The 23,270-nt window shown below is 49.1% G+C and overlaps 1 protein-coding gene across 5 annotated transcripts in view; it reads right to left on the bottom strand.

Annotated features, from left to right (window-relative positions):
* CDH23 (cadherin related 23) overlaps positions 1-23,270 on the bottom strand; it is a 419,028-nt gene that overhangs the window by 376,608 nt on the left and 19,150 nt on the right. The window lies entirely within an intron of this gene.

The raw sequence follows: 23,270 nt of genomic DNA, 5'->3' as shown, positions 1-23,270 counted from the left end.
CCACCAGTGCCCAATGAGCATATCTCTTCCTGTTTTTTTTTATTTTTTATATTCACCACATTATCCCATAACCTTGTATATGAAGGGATGCAGCAGGTCATGGTGTCCAAAGAGGCACAGAGAGGGGAGGCAACCTGCCCAGGACCTCACAGCAAGTCTGTGGAGGCTAAAGCTGAATTTTGAAGGGCTCAGAGCTAAGCTCTAGTGAGATCGGGGGCTCAGTTGACAGAGGTTCTGAAAGACCAGATCCTATTTCTAAGGGTGGCTGGGAGGGTAGACAGCTCTCTCCCATATGGCAACAGTCCCCACTCTGGTCCCATTCCATCAGGGCCCTGGTCCTCCAGCGGCTCAGGAGCAGGCCTCCCTAGAGCCCAGCAGTGACACCAGGGGGACCACACTCACCAACCAGGAATCCTAACCTCCTACAGAACTGTCTGCCCTGGTAGTGCAGGGCCAGACTCACACACATTACCCTTCAGTGCATACCTACTGTGCATCTGGCCTGGGGCGTGTTCATCTCCCTGGCTCACAAAGTAGGCTTAGAGCCATCAGACAATTTGTTCAGAGACCTCCAACTAGAGAGCAGAGCCAGCATCAAGACCCAAGCTGGTGTCCTATCTCTCTTGTCAATAAGTGACCAGGAAAGACACAGGGCAGTGAATAGAGCTGGAGGAAAGGATTTTTGGAGAGACTTCCACATCTCTGCCAAGATATAGGGGTGAGGGATTAAGAAAGAGCTGAGAGCGTGGACCCCTTAATTCTGGACTTGGAGAGGCCTCAATCCCTCTCAGCCCATGTCCTCAGTGAACAATGAGGTGACCCTACCAGATGTTCCTGACCAACACGACATACAACAGTCCCCTTTTGCTTTCCTTCTGATATTATACTTAAAACATCCTAATTACAAAGTATGAGACAGTCATTTGAAGAATAAAAGATTCTTTTCCTTTTTCTTTTTTTTCTTTCTTTCTTTCTTTTTTTTTTTTTTTTTTGTTTGAGACAGAATCTCACTCTGTCACCCAGGCTGGAGTGCAGTGGGGTGATCTCGGCTCACTGCAACCTCCACCTCCTGGATTCCAGTGATTCTCCTGCCTCAGCCCCCCCGAGTAGCTGGGATTACAGGTGCGTGCCACCACGCTTGGCTCATTTTTTTGTATTTTGAGTAGAGATGGGGTTTCACCATGTTGGTCAGGCTGGTCTCAAACTCCTGAACTCAAGTGATCCACCCGGCTCAGCCTCCCAAAGTGCTGGGATTACAGGCGTGAGCCACCATGCATGACGAAACACAAAAGATTCTAAGATGTATTTGAATAATAAGAGGCAACTCTTCCCCCTACACATCCTATCCCTGTGTTTCCACTGCCTTGAGTTTCTGAATATTAACAGCCTATCACAGGGGTTGCAAACTGAAATGCTTACAAGGCCAGCAGGGAATTTAGATGAGGGTGTTGCTGGGTGGGTGGGGATGATGGCCAGTTGGAGTCCACATGCTCTCTGTTGAAAAGTGGCAGCTGCTGATGTGTTTCAGCCAAGAGGGAATGTGGGCCCAGTGTGGCGGAGCTTCTGATTTTTCTCAATGAAAAACTAGAAATCAGGCTTTTCACATGAATTCAATTTTTAAATGTTGGCAAATAACTCAATTTGTAAGGAATACTTTGTGAGTCAAACATGACCATGGCCAGAGTGGGCAGGCAAGGGCTGGCATGCATCCTACCAGGCCTTTCTCTGCACCCAAGAAATATGTTCCCATTACACACATGTACAGAGCCGTGAGGCTACTGTTTACTTTGAGAATAATGGAGTTACCCTCTACATACAAGAAACTTGCTTTTCGCACATCAAGAAATCCCACAGACAGCACTCCAGGCCAACATTGCTTAGAATTACCTCTTTCTTTTTAGGAGATAATAATAGCTCATGGTATGGATGTTTCCTAATGGAGATTTCATCCCTTACTGATGGGCATTTGGATGTTTCCAGGTTCCTGCCCCCAAAAGCAATGCCACCGCGAACATCTCTCTGTACATAATTGTGTTGGGATTTGGCTCTTCAGTGTGGTTCTCCAACAGTGGGAGTGCTGGGTCAATTAAATACAACCCAGAGTGTGTATGTGAACTTTTACTAGACGCTGCCATATTATCTTCTGGAAAAGGCTGTGGCAATTCTCAGTCCCACCAGCAGTATATGAGAGGGCCTATGTGCCCACCTGGAAGTGATCTCTCTTTTAAATGGCTGCCAATCGAACACATGAAAAATGGTATAGCATTGCAGCTTTAATTTGCATTTCCCTAACTACTAGCGGGGTTGAGCAAGATGCCTTTCTCTAAATGTTCAAACCACTTTCCATCTGTTATCTTGCATTACCCTATCATATCCTGCAAAGAAGCTAGCCAGCAGCACTAGCGTTATCCCTGATTTACAAGTGGAGAAACCGAGGCATTGGGCAATTAAGTGACAATCTGACATCTCACAGTGAGTGAGTATCTTCTACAGAAAAAACTCCAGCCCTCTGCCATTCCAAACCAGATGTTATGAGAATTAAACAACATCTGCTAAGAACATCATCCACAAATAGCTGGGGAGAGCACACCATTCTGCTGGGTGCTGCAGGAAGTTTGCGGTGGAAGGAAGGAAGGAGGGAAGGAAATGAACAATTGTTAGGCAATCCCACAGGCCAAGGATTTTCACGGGTATTATTTTTATTCAATCTTCCAAAACACTTCTGTGAAGTAGGTCTTCTTGTCCCCATTTTACAGACGAGGACATTGAGGCTCAGAGAGGTCACTCTAGGATTGACCAGGTCTGCCTGAGTCAGAGTCTCCTGATGTTTCCATCACACCATGCTGCTGTTCCCGTTTCCTGACTTTGTAAGAGGGGAAGACATGGCCCCTCCCTCACGGAGCACAATATGCATCACACAAAAAACACAGGGTGAATGTCTGCCAAAAAGTGAGCGCCTGCATACACATGCATGCATAATGCCTTTCGCTTTCCACAGTGCAGGCTCAGGCTCCAACACTGCCAGGCACACTGGGCCCCCAACCTCTCAAGTGCCTGTTCTCCTTTCCCCATCGGAGGCGATCAGACTGCCTCAGTGCCCAGATCCATCAGTCAGGGGTAGATGCACACAACCCTAATTCTGCAGGATTGGCAGGGACTGCCTCCAAAGCATTCGGAAGCAGGGACCATCTCAGCTCCAACCTGACTCTGCCTCCATCCTCCCCACAGGGTGAGGTGGCACCGACACTAGGTCAAGGTGGCACAGGCTCCAAAGGGTAAAGCAAAGCAGCTGGGCCTGAAGGGCTCCACCCTGCTGCTGGGTTTTCCCTGAGGTCCCAGATCTTCCTCTGGCTCCTCTGTCTACGGGAGGAAAGCAAGGCCCAGAGAGAGCAGAGGCTGATGCCAGAGGGAAGAGACAGACTCCTAAGCCCTGACCTCCAGCCTCAGTGTGGTGAGGGATGCTGCTTTGCCTGCTGGCATTCCTCAGTACCCAGGCCATGGTGAGCAGCATGGGTCCCCAGGGAGAGCCTGACCTCACTCTGCTCTGTGCAATAGCTGTTCCCCCAGCCTCCTGGCCTCCTCACTTCCCATTCAGCACAGCCAAGTGGCTTCCTCCACCATCCTCAGGCCCACCTTCAGGATGCGGCCTGAGCTCCCACCAATCCTGTCTCCCCACTGGATCAGGAAACACAGACACACCCTTCTGTGCTGGGCTTCCTGCTTGGACCTGGGATAGGTGCCAGAGACCTGCTCCAGAGGTAAGGGCAGGGCCACAGCCAGCTGCCCCCAAATCTCTCAAGTGCTGGCTTAGAGCCCTCCTCCTAAGAAGACACATAGCCAGTCCCCAAAGCCCTCAGACTCCAATTTCCAACATTCTCCTTCATGCCAAACTTTGTGCCAGGCACAGTGGGAGGACATAGGGCCATGAGAACATACGGCTGTGACTGGAAACATGTGCTAGGTGTCAAATAAGTGAAACAGACTGTCACTGCCCAGGGCCATCAGGAGAGAGAAAATCCCAGGGCTCCCAGTTTTCAGGGTTCAAGCTACCCACACATCAGATTCATAATTCTAACATTTACTGAGTCTATGTTCTATGCCAGTCATTGTGATACACAATGCATTCTACATGCTGGGGCTCAGAGAGGCTAAACAACTTGCTCAAGGTCACACAGCTAATAAGTGTCAAGTCTGGATTTGAACTCCATTCTGATGGCCATCATGGCCAGGCTCCCAGCCTCAGCCCCAACCCTTGCTGAGCTCAGACATGTGACCCAGGGGAGGGTCCTGCAGAGGCGCCTGATAGGAAGTCTCTGGGCAAGACCCTGTGGCATCTACTCAGCGAGCCCAGTGAGAATTCCAACATGCTCACAGCCAAGGTATGCTGGGCCAGCAGGAGGTAAGCTGCACATGCCAAGAAGAAGGCAGATGGCTGGGGTGGTGGGTGGGCTTTTGTTTCATCTGCCCTCCCAGGCTGTTGGCATCTCACACGCATTGCTCCTAGAACCAGTAGCAATAGGAGAATGCATGCTCCATCAGGGGTGAGCAAGTCTCCCCCCTCCTCACCCGCTACTGCTTCCCTCCACCACCTTCCCCTCAAGGTTGACACCTTTGTCCCTGGCAGAAGCTGACTGCAAATTTCTCAGATTTAGAGCAGCAGCCCCGCCCACATTAACCACCTTCTCCTGTCATCACCCAGGAAGACCTGCTGCTCAGACCAGCTCTGGGCTGAGGGCTGGCTGGGGAGGCTCTGAGAGGTGGTTCAGTGACAGCATCCATGGAGTCACCCACATAGGAATCACCCCTGCCCCCCACCAAGTCAAATCAAAGTCTTATACCACAGAGAGCCAGTGAGCTGCAAGGTGAGGCTTCAGGCAGTGGGGGATCCAGCTGGGTCTGGCCACACTGCGCACATCTGCCCTGACATGCCCTACTGTGTGCTAGGCACTGTGCTAGAGCTTAAGGACACAGAAAGGAACAAGGTAAAGCCCGCACCCTGGGGGAGCTGAGACTGCCTGGGAGAGACCAACCCCAACAGAGCAGGTGAGTGAGTCATCCAGTGTTGGGAGTGAGGTGCCCTGGGAAAGAAGGAGCAGTGCAGGAACCAGCTGAGGGTCACTGGGGAGGTGACATATGAGCATGCACTCGCAGGAGAGTGGGCCATGTGGATATCTGGGAGGAATGCCTTCCAGGCAGAGGGAGCGGCCTGTGCAAAGGCCCTGAGGCAAGAGCATGCCTAGTGCGCTTGAGGAGCATGAGGAGGCCAGCGTGGCTGGAAGGGGTGCACAGCGGGAAGAGTTGCAGGAGATGAGGGCAGAGAGATCTCAGGGTCCATCATGGACACTTTGTAGGCCACTGATTGTGAGGAAACACGTGATATGAATAACCAGTTTTCAAGAAGCACCCTGGCTGCTGTGATGAGGACACACTGTAGGGGGCATGGGTGGGAGTGGCTAGACTGGTGTCCAGGCTCCTGCAGGGATGCAGGCAGGGATGATGAGCTCCAGGCAGGGGAGCGGTGTGGGATCTGGCAGATTCTGGGCATGTTTCAAAGTAGAGCTGAGAGGGTTTCCTGCTGGTGGGGATCTGGCTGTGCAAGAATGAATTGAGCCCAAGCACCTGGGAGGATGGCATTGCCATTAGCTAGGACAGGAGAGGCTGCAGGTGGAGCTGGCTGAGGGACAAGATCGGAAGTTCATTTGAGACATGGCGAGTCTGGCATGGCTGTTGACAACCAAGTAGCAACAGTGGGTCAGCAGCTGGACATGCTCAGCCAAGGTCCAGGATGGGCTGGAAGCAGAAGTGTGGGAGCCACCAGCAGGGAGGTGGTGCTTACCGCCACCAGAGGGGCAAGATCAGCAGGGCTCCCAAACCCCTGAGCTGAGGCAACTGGACAGAGAATCAGTCCGTCTTTGAAAATTGTCCAAAGAGCCTGAAAATGCATATACCCTGTGGCCCAGCAATTCCACCTCCTGAACCTCAGCTGAGGAAATTGCCATAGCTGTACGTGGACACCAAGCCACAGGGATGCCCACTGCTGCGTAACTTATGATAGATACCCAAAAGGGGACTGGCTCAACTGTGGGATGTCCCTAGGAAGCAACAGGGGATGGTGTTTGGATTCCTAGTGTGTGAATGTATGCAGGGGAGTGTGCGCATACAGCACTGTGGAGTGAAGCCAGGGTGTTGTGTGAGTGGTGAGGTTATGGGAAGTTTTATTGTCTTCTAGCTAGTTTCTGCATTCCGCCTATCTTCTGCAATAAGCATTCAACGTGTTGACATCAGTGGCCTCATTTATGGCCACCCTACCAAAATCTTGCCACAGCCTATGAACACATGGACAACCCTGATTAGACGTTCTCTCCCGCACTGTCCTGAGCCTCCCTGAAGGCCAGAGTCCCAGGTGCAAACACCAGGGGAGACTCTGGGAGCTGGGAGGGTCCTCGGCGGTCCTCTGGCTGACACCCCTCCCTGGGCTGCTACCAGACGTTTCTAGGGACATGGAGCTCCTTTTATCCTGGGCCGTGGGTCCCAGCTCGGGAGGCGCTGCCTCTCCATCCCGAGTCCAGCCCCACTGGGTCTTTCCTCGCTAGGCGAGGAGGTCGGATTGCTCCCATCACCAGGAGGGCTCCCTCATGCTCTGCCTGCAGGCAGCCACGAGCAGCAGAATGGGCTAAAACCCAGGCTCGGAGACAAGGCCCAAGGCTGGCACTTGGCCCCATACTGAGGGTTCTCCTTTCCCCAGGTGAGGACCAACAGTGTGAAAGAAAACTTGTGCCTGAAAGCACACACACACACTCTCTCACACACTCACCCACACACTCACACTCACCCACACACTGCACACACACACTCTCAAACACACACCTACACACTCACATGCTCTCACACACACGCTCTCAAACACACACTCACCCACACACTCACACACACACAAACACACACCACACAACTCACACACTCTCAAACACACACCCAGACTCTCACACTCACACACCGCACACACACTTTTTCAAACACACACCCACACATTCACACACTCACACACACACTCTCAAACACACTCATGCACACACACACTCTCAAACACATGCACACACACACATTCTCAAACACACTCATGTGCACACACTCACACACACACAATTGCGTTCTGCCACCCCCTCCAGGAGATGCATCCACAAAATGCCCCCACCCCACTGCACAACCCTGGAGGGCCCCTCCTTCCTGTTCCCACTCCTTTGCCCAGGTTGGAGGAAGCCAGGTTCCTTGCAAAGCTCCCCATGACCTGTAGGGGTTTCACCAAACACCTCTGAATCCCAGAAAAAAACCTAAGAGGAAGCCCGTTGAAGCCTGGTGTCCTAGACTGGAAAGGCACATTCCATGTCTCTGCTGGAGCAAGGCACACTCCCCTCTTTTGGGAAATAGGCAGTTCTGGGCCTAACTCCCGGGGCAGGGCCCCCACCGTGACCATCTCCCATCTCTCCCTGCAGCCCGGTCAGGAGGTACAAGGGCAGAGGGCACACTGCTGCCTGCCAACAGGCAACGCCTCCTGGCCTAGCAGGCAGGGGGGGACATGAGAGAATAGAGCAGGGGGAAGGAAAAGGGCAGGAGGGGACATCTGGGCAGCGTTTCAGTTTCTCGGGAGTGAGAGATTTTCACAGCATGGTGCCACGATTTAGTTTGAACTGTTATGAATTCCCATAAAATCAGATGCACTCAACTTTGAATAGAAATACAGAAATGCGCTGCAGAAATCAAATACAATTTGGTGATTATTCACCACTGCTACACACAGAGAGGTTCGTGCGTGCAAGAAGGCGCCTGCAGATGACACCATTAGGGCTGCTAATGGCCAAGCCCTTGTAGGTCACCGATGACCACGCTTCAAAGCCCACACTATCCAGGCCACTGCCGGGGAGGCTGCTGTGATGGAAAGAGTAGACAAGACCACCTCATGGCTATTCTGTTCTTGCACCCTCCCCTGGATCCCTCCCAGAAGCTTCCATGAAGTGGTGCCTGGGGCAGGAAGGCAGGGCACGACCTGAGACCCCCAGGGTGGGGAGCCACAGACATCAGCCTCCCCCATATGAAGCCTGGTGTCTCTGAGTTCCCCTCACCGACTCTTAAAAATATCATACAGCAAAAGATTTATTTTACTTTATTCTTTTGGGGAGCAGTGTACGGACGTAGTAAATAACTAAAAAGAAAGGGTGTACAGCAGGAAGCGAATCTCCTGTCTCCCCATCCCACAACTCCTTCCCAGAGGCAACGCTCAAGGTCTCATTCCAGAAGTTCTGTATGTTCATATTAGCACATGGGCCCCTCCCTCTCTTTAAAGAAAATGTGAGTGGTACTCATGCTATCCGACTCCTAGCTTTTTACATGACCATGTATCCTGAGGACTGTTCCATTTCAGTACATACGGAGTTGCTTGTTCTTTTTAGCAGCTGCAGGGTGTCCTTCTATATGGGGGACCATCCTTTAACCAGTCCTCTGCCAGTGGACATTTAGGCTGTTCTTTTTTGTTTTTTTTCTGTCACCCAGGCTGGAGTGCAGTGGCGCGATCTCGGCTCACTGCAACCTCCGCCTCCCAGGTTCAAGTGATTCTCCTGCCTCAGCCTCCTGAGTAGCTGGGAGTACATGGGAGTACAGGCTCCCACCACCAGGCCAGGCTAACATTTTTGTATTTTTAGTAGAGACGGGATTTCATCATGTTGGTCAGGTTGTCTCGAACTCCTAACCTCAAATGATCCGCCCACCTCGGCCTCCCAAAGTGCTGGGATTACAGGCGTGAGCCACTGTGCCCGGCCTAGGCTGTTCTTAATCTTTTGCTTTGATGAAGAAAGCCACGACAAATATCTTTGTTCCTCTGTCTGTGCGTAGTGGTGCATTTAGAAGCAGGAAATTTTCATATTTTCATAGCTGTTGGCAAACTGCCCTCCAAAGAGGGTGCACCAAGTTATACCCCCTCCACCACCAACAATGAGGAAAAAGCGGTTTCCCCACATCTTTGCCATCACTGGGCTCTCACTTTTTTTTTTTTGAGTTCCAAAAAGACAGCAGAGGCTCCTGATCCTCATATCCCCAGCCCCTGCTGGGCACATGGACAAGAATGGAGTGATCAAAGTCAGCTTCCTCCTATCCCCTGGCTCACCAGCAGGGGAACAGCCCACAGACCCCAGCTCAGGCCTGGCATGTTGCTGAAACCTGCACCCACCCCCTCACTGGGGTCACTGCCAGTCACCCACCCTGTGTTCTCCCTGTGCCCTGACCCTGTGGCTCCCTCCACCTGGAGCATCCCTAGCTCCACCTTTCACATCCCACCTTACAGCTCAAATGCCCTTCATCTACGAAGCCACCTTGGAACGCTGCTGGAACAGGAAGCTGAGTTGTCCTCATCCTTACTACATTGTTGGAGGCACCTATCTCAGCTGCGTGGGACAGCTGGCCATGCCCTTGTCCTCCTGCTGCCAGAAGACCCACAGATCCTTGCAAGCAGAGTCTACTTCATCTCATACAGCCATTTGCCCACCAGCATGTGTCTCTAAAATTTAACAGGTCTGGCAGTGAGCTGATTTCTTCCCTAAATAGTTTCCAGTCCTTGCCTTTCCCATCTCAGCACATTCATCTCTATCCAGCCAGTCAGTCACGATACCTTCTTTTGATTAATTCAGTTAACGAACATCTTCCACGCACCCGCTAAATACGACTTTCCCCCCTGTCCCCGATCACTGTATTTCAGCCACACTAGCCCCTCTCAGCCTCAAACCTGCCAGCTCATTCCCACCTCTTGGCCATCACTGGGCTTGATCAGATTCTCGATCCCAGCCCTTCACTCCTCTTCAGAAGAATGATGTGTCCACACCCATGCGGGGTCTCCCACCTCTTATGCTGAGCTTGGCTGTGAGACTCACTTTGCCCAAGCTCCACAGTAGCATGAGCATGTACCTTGTGCAGAGGGACTTGTCTATTGAGCTCCTGCCATTCAATTTGAGAAGAACACACCCCATGCAGACCCCTGGCCCCAGAAGAATGAGCAGACAGAACCCATGCACAGCCTAGAGTCAAGCTCAGTCACGTCCAGCCTAGATTTGCTGACCTTCCCTCCAGCTGACCCCTGACACATAAGAAAGAATAAATGACTGCTGTGGTGTTTTGCTGTGCAGCTTTATCGAGATAACAATGACTGATAACACTATGGATATGACACCAAAAACACAGGCAAGAAATGGAAAAAATCGATAAATTGGACTTCATCAAAATGAAAAACTTTTATGCATCAGAGGACACTATCAACAGAGTAAAAACGCAACCTACAGAAAATATCTACAAATCACATGCCAGATAAGGGATTAATGTCTAAAATATAGAAAAGACCCTAAAACTCAAAACAAACAACCCAATTCGAAAGGAGGCAAATTTCTCCATAGAAGATATACAAATGGCCAGCCAGGCGTGGTGGCTCAGGCCTGTAATCCCAGCACTTTGGGAGGCCAAGGCAGGCAGATTGCCCAAGGTCAGGAGTTTGAGACCAGTCTGGCCAACATGGTAAAAACCCGTCTCTACTAAAAATACAAAAAATTAGCCCAACTTGGTGGCGTGCACCTGTAATCCCAGCTACTCAGGAGGCTGAGGCAGGGGAATTGCTTGAACCAGGGAGGTGGAGGTTGCAGTGAGCTGAGATCGCGCCACTGCACTCCAGCCTGGGCAATGGAGTGAGACTCCATCTCGATTAAAAAAAAAAGAAGAAGATATACAAATGGCCAATAAGCCCATGAAACAATGCTCACCATCACTACCATTAGGGAGCTATAAATCAAAACCGCAATGAGATACCAGTTCATACTCACTAAAATGGCTATTATAACACACACACACACACATAAAACAAGTGTTGGAGGCCAGGCGTGGTGGCTCGCATCTGTAATCCCAACACTTTGGGAGGCTGAGGTGGGCGGATCACTTGAGGTCAGGAGTTCAAGACCAGCCTGACCAACATGGTGAAACCCCATCTCTACTAAAAATACAAAAATTAGCTGGGCCTGGTGATGCATCCCTGTAATTCCAGCTACTCAGGAGGCTGAGGCATGAGAATTGCTTGAACCCAGGAGGCGGAGGTTGCAGTAAGCCGAGATCGTGCCACTGCACTCCAGCCTGGGCGACAATGAGACTCTGTTTCAAAAAAAAAAAAAAAAAAGAAAGAAAGAAACAAGTGTTGGTGAGCATGTGCAAAAGTTGGAATTCCTGTGCATTTCTGGTGGGACTATAATATGACACAGCTACTGGAGAAAGTAGCATGACAGTTCTTTATAAAAGTACAATAGGGCCGGGCACAGTGGGTCACGCCTGTAATTCCAGCACTTTGGGAGGCCAAGGCAGGAGGATCACTTGAGGTCAGGAGTTTGAGACCAGCCTGGCCAACATGGTGAAACCCCGTCTCTACTAAAAATACAAAAATTAGCCAGGCATAGCAGCATGCGCCTGCAGTCCCAGCTACTCAGGAGGCTGAGGCAGGAGAATCGCTTTAACCCAGGAGGTGGAGGTTGCAGTGAGCCAGGATTGCACCACCGCACTCCAGCCTGGGCAACAGAGTGAGACTCCATCTAAAAAAAAAAAAAAAAAAGTAAGCATAGAATTACCCTATGCTCCAGGAATTCCACTTCTGAGAATATACACAAAAGAACTGAAAGCAAAAACTGGAACCTGTATTTGTACACCAATGTTTATGGCATCATTATTCATAATAGCCAAAACATGAAAACAAACCAAATGTCCTTCAGCAGGCAAATGAATAAACAAAATGTGGTATATCCGTTGGTATATCACAACGAAATGTTATCCAGCCATGAAAAGGAATGGAGACTGACGCCTGCCTCAACAAGGATGAACCCTGAGAACCTGACGCCACCAGCCAGTCACCAAGGACCACATATTATGAGTTTGTTTATGTGAAATGTCCAGAAGAGGTAAATCTTAGAGGCAGAAAGTAGATCTGTGGTTGCCAGGGGCTGGGGGTAACGGGGAGGGAGGGTAGCTAAAAAGTATGGGCTTGCTTGCTTTCTTCTTTCTCTCTTTCTCTTTCTTTCTTTCCCTTTCTTTCTTTCTTTCTTTCTTTCTTTCTTTCTTTCTTTCTTTCTTTCTCTTTCCTTCCTTCCTTCCTTCTTTCTTTTTTTTTTTTTTTTGAGACAGGGTCTCACTCTGTTGCCCAGGCTGGATGGAGTGCAGTGGTGCAGTCACAGCTCACTGCAGCCTCAACCTCCTGGGCTCAAGCAATCCTCCCACCTCAGCCTTCCGAGTAGCTGGGACTACAGGAGCGTGCCACTATGCCTAGCTAATTTTTTAATTTTTATTTTTGTAGAAACAAGGTCTCACTGTGTTGCTGAGGCTGGTCTCAAACTCCTGGACTCAAGCAATTCTTCCATCTCTGCCTCCCAAAGTGCTAGGATTACAGGTGTGAGCCACTGCGCCCAGCTAAAGGTATCTTTGTGAGATGATAAAATGTTCCAAAATAGGCTGTGACTATGGTTGCACATATCTGTGCATGCCCTAATAACCATTGAATTGTACACTTTAAATGGGCTTATTGGATCATATGTGAATAACATATCAATAGAACAGTTTTAAAAAATTAAAAAATGAATTCAATAACAAATAAATAAAGCTAGTGTAGAAACCAAAGCTTATCAAAACTAAGTGAGGTAAACTGCCAAGTTCACCCTTGGTGCAGACCCCCTTCCAGTCCCCTTACTTCCTCGCAGCCCCCACTTGCCTCCCTGGGCCCCACCTCTCACTCCCAGCCAGAAAGTCAGCTTGGCCTCACCTAGCCCCCTCCTGCCTCACCTGAAGTCCATCTCCCGTGGTGAGCCAACCTGTGCCAGCCAGCTCATTTGACAGACAAGGGAAACAAGGCTCACAGAGGCTGCCTTCCCTGTCTTCAGACCATCAGTCCAAGAGCCAAGGATGGAAAGGAAGACCCCAGGTCCTGGGCCTGTCCCCCATTCTCTCACAGGATGGCCCTTAGAAAGTCCTGGCCCCCCTCTGAAAGTGCAGAGCAGACTTGGTACCCTCAGGCATTTTCAACTCTGCTCTTCTCAGCCTCTCGGATGCTGACCCCATCACTGCTCCCAAGTCAAAACCATTTGCTCAGGGGCCATGCAGGTGGTCGATAGAACTATGGGTGAGGCCAAGGCCACTCCTAGTGTCCGCCTGTTCAACTTCCACCGGCTAATTCACTGCCAAGCCCTCCTGCCCTCCCCAAGACAGAGGGGTGGGAGGGGAGCCAGGACATCCTTTCTTATTTCCCCTTCTCCCCAGTCAATAGAAAGGTTCACAAGTATCCCAAGTCTCCACCTTCTTCTCTCCTTTGCTTTCTCTGCTCTCATCCCTTGCACCCCAAAACCTTCCCAAAAGGAATCTCAATGCTGAGAACCCAGCAGCTTCCATCCTGTGTCCTCCAACTCCACACAGCTGCCAGAACACCTCCGTGATGACTTTAACTCTGCAAAATCTTTCTGTACATGTGACTGCAAATCTAGACAGGGTGATGTTATGCCCATTTCACAGATAGGGGCACTGAGCTCTCAGAGGATCAACTTGACCCTGAGGATCAGCCAGGGAGTCAGCAACAGAGTCTGGGCCTCTCATCTGAAGAGAGAGCTTCCTCCTGGCACAGAACCCCATGCAGGCTGCAAGGAGTGAAAGTGAGGCAAACAGCATGCAACTGCCCACTCCCAGCTGTGCTCCTACCCACACAGGAGCTCCAAACCCCCAGCTGGGGTAGCACTGTCCTGCAGATGGGCGGGGCTGGCTCTAGACCAGTCACACTCAAAAGTGAAGGCCTCTCTCAGGCTCCTCCCTCCCATGTGATCTAATAACCTGGGAGCCTATTCTTTTTTCTTTCTTTCTTTCCTTCCCTTCCTTCCCTCCTTCCTTCCTTCCTTCCTTCCTTCCTTCCTTCCTTCCTTCTCCTCTCTCTTTCTCTCTGCCCCACTGTGACTATTCTTTGTTCTTTCTTTCCTTTCCTTCCCTTCCTTCTCCTCCTTCGTTCCTTCCTTTCTTCCTTCCTTCCTCTCTCTCTCTCTCTCTCTCTCTCTCTCTCTCTCTCCCTCTCTCTCTCTGCCCCACTGTGATTTTAGCCAAGCCGGTTTCCTCCCCTTCCACCCTCACCCACTCCAGGGCACCTTCCACAACATTCTCCAGTCTTCACAGACACCCCTTCTGCACTCAGTCCCTCTTCACTGACATTAGGTACAAATAGGAGTTCTCACCCCAAGCAGAGCCATGGGTCAGCCGTGTGACCCTGGGCAAGGTGGCAGATCTCTCCAGGCCTCAGCGTCCTTGTCTGCAAAATGCCACTTGGGACACAGCTTCCGCCTTCGCTTAGACAGGGCCCTGTGACCAGATGCCCTTCCTCCCACTGGGCATGCGGGGACTGAGGAGCCTTCCCTGAGCTCCTCTCAGCCCCCCAGGCAGAAGCAGTCCCTTTACTCTGTGTCTGGGGTCTCTGAGATGTGACTCATGCTGCTTTTGAGCCTAGTGTGGTGCAGCTGGAGCTCTGCTGTGTGTGACAGTGTCACTGTCTATGCTGCAGGCTTCCCCCCAGCCTGCCCAGAGCCTGGCGGACAGTAGGTGCACAGTGAGCACTGGATGAATCATGAATCAATGACTGAACAAAATAAAGGAACGAGGTCCCTTCAAGTGTGAACAGCCTGACACTATGTTGCAGGGAAGGCCTGGGCACAGCCCCACCAGCCAGCTGCCAGGCACACCCTCAGCTGGGGGAAGGGGATCCCTGTGGGGATGAGTGGGGGTATCGAGGAGACAGGGCAAGGCACACGCTCTCTAACAGCAAGTTGATCATTTTCCCTTTGAGTTAAGTGATACATCTTTTCCAGATTGCCTGTGACAGCCACTTCCTCCCCACATAATTGTGTGAGATGCTGTTTGGATTGTTTTTACGCGTGTTAATATCACAGCTTCTAAAAGGAGCAAGGGGCATGCAGTGGGGGCTTGACCAGAAGGAGCTTTGGGCTCCTGAGAGCTCAGTGGGAAACCCAGGTCCCACCAGGTTACCTTACTGCAGGTGGAGAGAAAGGGACAAGTCTACCTGGGAACCATCAGGCGGGGAGCGAGATCCAGTTTCAAATCCCTGCTTAGCCTCAGTTTCCTCTCTATGCTGACGGAGGCAGCACCTACGTGGCGGGATATAGTGAGGACTCAAAGGCGGCACACTTGAGAACACCCACAGGTGCACCTGGCACGCGATGCGTGTCCAGTCCACCCAAGCGTCCTCTTGCCTTGCCTCTTCCCAGTCCCCACCTCTTCTGCCCAATTCTCAAGCCAACAGTCATAGTGACAACCATGCTCCGTTGTATGTAGAGCATGTCACCCTTGTTGCACTCATCACAAGCACCCGACACCTGGACTGCAGGTTCTGTGAGAGCAGGCAGGGCAGACCCAGACCAGGCGATCTTAGAACAGAGCAGAGAGCACCACCCGTCCTGCCCTGCCCAGCGAGCACCACCAGCCTCTCAGGTCACTTGGCCTTCACTGGCCTTGGAGGCAGGAACACCACCTCATTTTCCAAATGGTGAAAATGAACCTCAGAGAGGATAGAGGCATGACCCTAAAACCCTGCAGTGCTGAGGCCCCAGTATGACTGACAGAACTAGAAATTTGGGGCTTAGGCTGAGTCTCCCCTAAAGCTGTCACCTCCTGCCACCAGCTTCTCTGCCTCCCTCCCCTCATCCCATTCTCCAGCAAATGCATCACCCCCCTGGAGCTGCTGGTTGGCTCTATCTCCTGCCTGTCTATTGCTAACCTCCCCCTAAACTGTGCTCCTCACAGGAGCCCAGCCAAGGAGCACCTTCCTACTCCAGAGGCAATGGACTTGCCCAGAGCCTGCAGCAGGGAGTGGTTTCAAATCCAGCCTCAGGTGAAATGCACAGCTGGACATTTGATTGTTGCCAAGCCACAGCCCTGTAGAGGCACCAAATCCACAGCAAGTTCCTTCTCCTCCTTCAACAGGGCTTGGCCATCACCTCCTTTGGAGTCTCCTCTGATTTTACCAGCTAGGCTGCATCAGGCCTTCCTCCACCCCACTGTGTTTCTGACAAACAGATGTCCCCGTTCGAACCCTCCATGCACTGTGTGTGTGCACACGCCTGTCTCTTTCACTGGACCTTAAACTCCTGGAGGACCCTAGGATCAGGGCATGCCTATTTCACCCTGATTGCTCCAGAGCCTAACACAAGGGCCGTCATAACATAGGAGGTGTTCAATAGTAGTGGCTGAAATATAAAACATAATATAAATATAAAAACATAAATGGAAGGGGAGAGAGAGGGAAAGAGGGAGGCCAAGCACAACCCCTCCTCCCAAAACCAAACTCTCAAGAATTCCAAAGGCTTTGCCCCTCTGCTCTGCCCTCCCCCAGTGAAGTTGCCCAGGAAATGGAGTCATGGGGCTGTGGTAGCAGCAGGTAAGCATACTGTTCTTCCCCTCTCTGGGCCTCAACTTTCCCACCCATGAAATGGAGATCCAGTTTCCTGATGGCAGATCAAGCACATGGAGAGCTTACAGTGGGTCCTTCAGCTAGGAAAGCCACCCACATTGATGCAGGTGGTGAGGAAGGAGGTCCAAGCAGTTGGGCAGGCCTGTGGAGGCCTTGAGATCCCAGGGGGCCTAGCTCCTCACCTCAACAATTTTTCTTCCTTATACAAGGAACGCTAAAAACCAGTGACAGAAATCTAGAGCCAGAAGAAGCTTGGAGATCCTCAGCATGCTGCTCATTTCACAGATGGGGAAACTGAGGCCCAGAAAGGCAGAAGGGAAGGATATTGGCATGTGCTGAGTGAGCCTACTGTGTGCTAAACTTTCTATAGAACTTCATAAATATCACCACTCCCTGTGAGGGGGTCTTGCTGACCCACTTTGCAGATGAAGAAATGGGGACTCAGGAAGAGTCTAGTTGACTGAGGTCTCACAGAAGTAAGTGACAATGGCAGAATTCGAACCCAGGTAGCTCTGGCTCCAAAGACCAAGCTCTTTGCATGGCACCACAGGGCAAAGGCTCCCTGGAGCCAGGACCACCAGAACCAGTGATTTCAAGATGATGGTTCCTTGACACCCAATCCAGTGCTCACTTCTGTACACACTGTAGGGCTGCCCCACAATGTCCCACCTTCTAGACCCATGTGTCTGCCATGTGTCTGATTCAGAAAATCATTAAACACCATGATTGGAGATTACTATAGTTGGCTCCTCATCTAACTGTTGTGCTTTATAGCATCCTCCCTCATAGACCTTCAACCCAAACTTGTATACATCCAGGGGTGGGAAGCTCACTACCTACTCAGGACACATTCCATCTTTTGGACAACTTGGTTAATAAGGATGCCTTTCCTCTTAACACCCTTCCTCTTTTAATGACCCAAAAGCTTCACACGACTCCTAGTTCACTGTGTCCACATTTGCCCCCATTCAGACACACACACACACACACACACACGCTTCCTCACAATCCACCACACCAGCCTCTTTTAATTTATTTTCTAGCCTTCTCCCTCCTGCCCTTCCCCAGTAACTACTTTCTAACCTTTACTAAGGACAAGTATATCTTTTTTAAAATACTCAATTTAAGAAAAAATATTTCACATCTGCATGAGCAATACACAAATCATAATTTTTAAAAATAACAAATTGCAGGCCAGAGTAATCATAAGTAAATTGATATTGATAAATAAGCTTTTCTCCAGAGCAGTAGGTGGTTTATTTTAATCTAATGAGTTTTGTATTTTCCCAGCTTTCAGATTCCATGATGAAGGGCTGTCTGCAATAGAATTACGACGCTCTCCGAAATATTGTAATTTAATGCCTCATTTTGTCAAGACTTTCTTGAAAATGAGATTTGTTCCCAGTGAAGAATTTTACTCGGCTCTTTCTCATATGCCCCCACCCACTCCCCAGGCACACAGGTTCTCCTCAGGTGGGGCAGGTGGTGGGGCGCAAGGGCAGGGGGCCAACAGGCCAGGTTAAATAAACATGGTGGCAGAAGGCAGAGGGCTGGGCAGGGAGCAGGAGTGGAACCGCTCCTGGCTGGACACAGCCTTGCTGTCTGACCGGGCATTACCCAAGGCCCACTCTGGGCCTAACACTGCCTCCTGCAAACAAAGAGGGGATCACAGGCTTCATCTTTCCTATGAGGAGCTGAAAGGGCTCCTATCTGGGGGTTAAAGAGAGCAGTATAAGAACCTGGAGACCTCTGAAGTCTGGAGAGAATGACAGACCCCACAGGCAGGGGAGCAGCAGAAACCAAGGGTTGGGGGGAAAGGAACAAAGCTATTTGCAGAGAGCCTCTGGGGGTCCTATGGTTGAATGCTCTCCAGGGACAGGGAGCTCAGCACCTCCTCAGCCAGCCTGCTGCTCTGTGAGGTTACTATAGCCAGGCGACGGGGGGTACCTTCCGGATGGGGGTGGTGCCGAGAAATGCTGAAGTGAGTAAAGCAGAGGCCAAGAGAGCAGCCAGGCTGACTGCCAAACTTGCTATGTGAGCTTGCATGAGCTGCTTAGCTGCTCTGTGCCTCAGTTTCCCTAATCTCTTAAATGGAGATAATAGTCATACCTACTTCATAGGGTTGTTATAAGTATCAAATAACATAATACTTGTGAAATCTCTGGAATACAAACTCACCTATATTAAGTTCCCAATAAGTGCTATTATTAGTAGCAGCAGCATCACCATCACCATCATCACCATCATCATCATCATCATCATCACCATCATCATATCACCATCATCATCATCATCATCACCTTCACCATCATCACCATCACCATTACCATCATCACCATCACCATCATCATCACCATCATCATTATCATCACCATCATAATGACCATCATCATCATCATCACCATCACCATCATCATCACCATCACCATCATCATCATGTGTGTGCATAGACTACTGGAGAGGACACTGAGAAAGCAGAAAAGGACAACTTCTGGGAGCGAAGCCTAGGTGTCTGGAGGAGAGAGGTGGGAGAGAAGAGTTTCACTGGATTCCACTTTGGGCCTTTTGAATTTTCTACATATGTTATTATTGCCTGCCCAAAAATAAAAGTGAAAAAAAAAGATAATTTGGTATTTTAGAAAAGAGAAAGGAAGAAAGACAAATTGCTCTTCTAATGTACCCCAATCTGCCTTCCAGTAACTTTCCCTCCCTATTTGGATTTCTGGACTCTGGAGTCACACAGTCAACCCCCGCCTTTTAAAGGAAGTAATTCATTGGCTCAATAAACCCTTCCTGAGCACCAGCTATAGCTGCTGAGTGCAAGGCATCCAGCAGTAGCCGGGACAGACTCCATCCCTACAGCCTGGCAGGTGAGAGACATGCTCAGCCTCACCATCTGGGTCCCAGGTGCCCCAAGTGAAACCCCTGGTGACATCACCTGCTCCCCTTCTTGGCCCACTCTCCCCTAAACAGCTGTTCTCCTGCCTGAATAAAGTTTCAGGTCCCCACTTTTGATTGTTAAATTAGATGAGTTCACCACTTACTGATACACATGCTGAGGTGTTTACAGGTAAAGTGAGCTGCTGTTCACCAGTAACTCTGAAATGCATCCAAAACAATGGTCTGATGGAAGGATGGGAAGTGAATAGATAGAAAAAGTAAAGGAAATGTAACAAAATGTACTCTATAGAATTCCAGTGGTGAGTACCTAGGGGTTCACTGGACAAGTCTTTTGACCTTTCTGCATGCTCAAAAATTAATTAAAATGTTAGGGGGAAATTAGGAGAATTCAAAACCACCAAACCTCCAGGTGGTTTTTCACATCTGAGTGTCCCTCCAGTGCCCTTTTCCTATGGGCTAGAGACTTTCCATGGGGTAATGTCCCTGCATGTCCATGTTAAAGGGCCTGGGTGTTGCCTCCAGGGCCTTTCTCATACCAGCCCCCACTGGAAAGGGCACAGTGATGTACTGGGGTGGACAGGGAGCAGGGGGAGAGCAGAGGCTAAGGGATGTTGCTCCATTCCCCCTCAAGGTCACTTCATTCTTCAGAGAGTCCATTCCTGTAGCACAAGCAGCTCTGGGACAGGCCCACCTAAGGAGAAGAAAGGTATTGCAAGGAGAAGGGAAGGGAGCCATAGAGGGAGGGGAGAGTATGCATATGTCTTAGAGGGCAGGGAGAGGAAGTGGGTGGCTGAATCCATGCTGAGGCCACAGAGGAACACTAACCCTCAGTCCCCTCAAAGTCATGCTATGAAACCCCTAACACCTTCCCACAGTTTTTTCTTACTTGATAGTACAATAACAAAAACAAAGCTAAAAATGTATTATTATAGTAGCTATCCTTTGTTGAGTGCATACTACATGCAAACATTGTGTTTATTAGTTAGTTCCCACAGCCATCTGATGAGGAGGATGCAATTATTACTATACCCATTTCACAGATAAAGAGATTGAGACTAAGAGAGAAGAGGTCATTAACCCAAGGTTACTCAGCTAGTAAACAGTGAACCAGGATTTAAATCCCAATTGGGTACCACTTGCAATTATGATTTAATAACCATGGCAGGTCAACAATCTCCATGAGACTAGAAAATTGGGTCCAAAAAATAAAAATCCACTTGAAGGTACCAGAGAACCGTCAGGTTAGACAGAAGCTACGGTATGACGATCCAGAGAACGGAATCTCCCAGAAGTAAGCCCAGACTTCTGAGAGCCTCTTTTGCACTCAGAGCTTTGGCACAGAATGAGAATGGAAGAGCGGGCAGAATGTTGGCCTTCCTGTGAGCCTGGGGAGATCAAGATTGAGTTGGGGCTAACAAGGCAGCAAGGACTTGAGGATCCCAGATCCCAGAGAGGAGGGAGGCACAGAGACATGAACTCAGACCCCTGGAGAGTTGCTGATGGACTGTGGATGAACTAGATGAAAATGAAGCATTACAATGACTAACCGAATCTGGAGTCAGCTCAGGCCCTGACTGGATTAAGATGATCAGCTGCTCTGCTGCCTGCTGGATGATACAATGAATCTTCCCTGAAAAGAAACAGCATCATTCAGATCCTCTACAATTTTTCATACGAAATGACTGACATTCATTAAAACATTACTAGCTATATCATAAACAGGAGAAAGAAAAAAACAGTCAATAAAAACAAGCCCATAGGTGACTCAGTTACTAGATTATCAAATATGGGCTTAAAAATTATAGTGATTAATATGTTCAAGACAATAGTTGAAAAAAGATGAATGATGTCACCAAGGAACTAGAAACTTCAAAACAAATAAAAATAAATTCCCAAAAGGAATAATATAATAATTAGAATCAGGATCTTAATAGATGGGTTTAACAGTGAATTAGATACAGTTGAAGAGAAGATGAGTGAACTGAAAATAGACCCGCAGAAAATAACTGGAATGAGCTGGGTGCAGTGGCTCATGCCTGTAATTCCAGCATTTTTAAGGCCAAGGCAGGCTGATCATTTGAGCTCATGAGTTAGAGACCATCCTGGGCAACATGACAAAACCCCATCTCTACAAAACATACAAAAATTAGCCAGGCATCATGGTGAGCACCTGTAGTCCCAGCTACTTGAGAGGCTGCACTGGGAGGATGGCTTGAGCCCTGGAGGTGGAAATAGCAGTGAGCTGAGATTGTGCCACTGCACTCTAACCTGGGTGATAGAGACAGAACTTGTCTCAAAGAAAAAGAAGGACAGATGAGAAAGTGATAAAATAGCTTAAGAGATATATGGGACATGGTGAAAATATCTAGTACATGTGTATAATTTAAGTCCTGAAGAAAGAGAGAGATTAAGTCAGAAGCAATAGTTGAAAATAAAATGACCGAAAATCTTTTGAAACTGATTGAAATATCAAGCCAAAGATTGGATAAATCCTAAGGATACAAAGTAGGATAAATAAAAGTATAACTGTAGAAAACCAAAGGCAAGGTCGGGCACGGTGGCTCAGATCTGTAATCCCAGCACTTTGGGAGGCCGAGGCAGGCGGATCACCTGAGGTCAGTAGTTTGAGAACAGCCTGGCCAACATGGTGAAACCCTGTCTCTACTAAAAATACAAAAATTAGCTGGGTGTGGTGGTGTGCGCCTGTAGTCCCAGGTACTTGGGAGGCTGAGGCAGGAGAATCACTTGAACCCGAGCAGCAGAGGTTGGCAGTGAGCCGAGATCGTGCCACTGCACTCCAGCCTGGGTGACAGAGCCAGACTCCGTCTCAATTTAAAAAAAAAAAGAAAAGAAAAGAAGAAAGGAAAAGACAAAAAAGAAAGAAAGAAAAAAAAAGAAAACCAAAGGCAAAACAAAAAAAGAAAAAAAATTTAAAGGAGCCAGAGAGAAAAGACACATTAATTCAAAAGTGCTAATAAAACTTATAGGTGACTTTTTGAAACAAACAATGGGAGCCAGAAGGCAATGAAATGAATGACCTCTTTAGTGTGACAAGAAAATTTTATACTCAGTAAAAATATCCTTCAAAATTGCCTGGCATGGTGGCACATGCTTGTAGTCCTACCTATTTGGGAGACTGGGGTGGGAGGATCGCTTGAGCCCAGGAGTTCAAGGTTGCAGTGACCTATGATCACACCACTGCACACTCTAGCCTGGGTGACAGAGTGAGACCCTGTCTCTAAAAATAAAAAGCAAAGGTATAATAAATACATTCAAAGATGAGCAAAAACTGCAAAAATTCAATAGCAGATCCACACCAAAAGGAGACATCTTCAGACAATGAGAAAATTACTCCAAAGGAAAATGTAAAATACAATGAAGAATAAAGAATATCAGGGTAAATATGTAAGCAAACGAATGCTGGCTGAAAGAAAATAATGTCTTATGGATGTAAAATATATATACAATTAAAATTTATAACAACCACTAACACTAAAGGTAGAAATGGAGTAAGTGGAGTTAAAGTGTTCCAAAGTCCTAGCTTTGTCCAAGAGATAGTAGAAAAAAATTACTCTAATAAGTTAAGAATACAGGCTATAGCTGGGCACAGTGGCTTATGCCTGTAATCCCAGCACTTCAGGAGGCCAAGGCGGGCGGATCACTTGAGGTCAGGAGTTCTAGAGCAACCTGGCCAACATGGTAAAACCACTTCTCTACTAAAAATACAAAAATTAGCCGGGCATGGTGGTGCGCACCTGTAATCCCAGCTAATTGGGAGGCTGAGGCAGGAGAATTGCTTGAACCTGGGAGGTGGAGGTTGCAGTGAGCCAAGATCATGCCACTGCACTCAATA

The sequence above is a fragment of the Homo sapiens genome, chromosome 10, assembly GCF_000001405.40.
Source record: "Homo sapiens chromosome 10, GRCh38.p14 Primary Assembly".
In the NCBI taxonomy this organism is placed as follows: Eukaryota; Metazoa; Chordata; class Mammalia; order Primates; family Hominidae; genus Homo; species Homo sapiens.
This window is presented reverse-complemented; position numbering and strand designations above follow the sequence as displayed.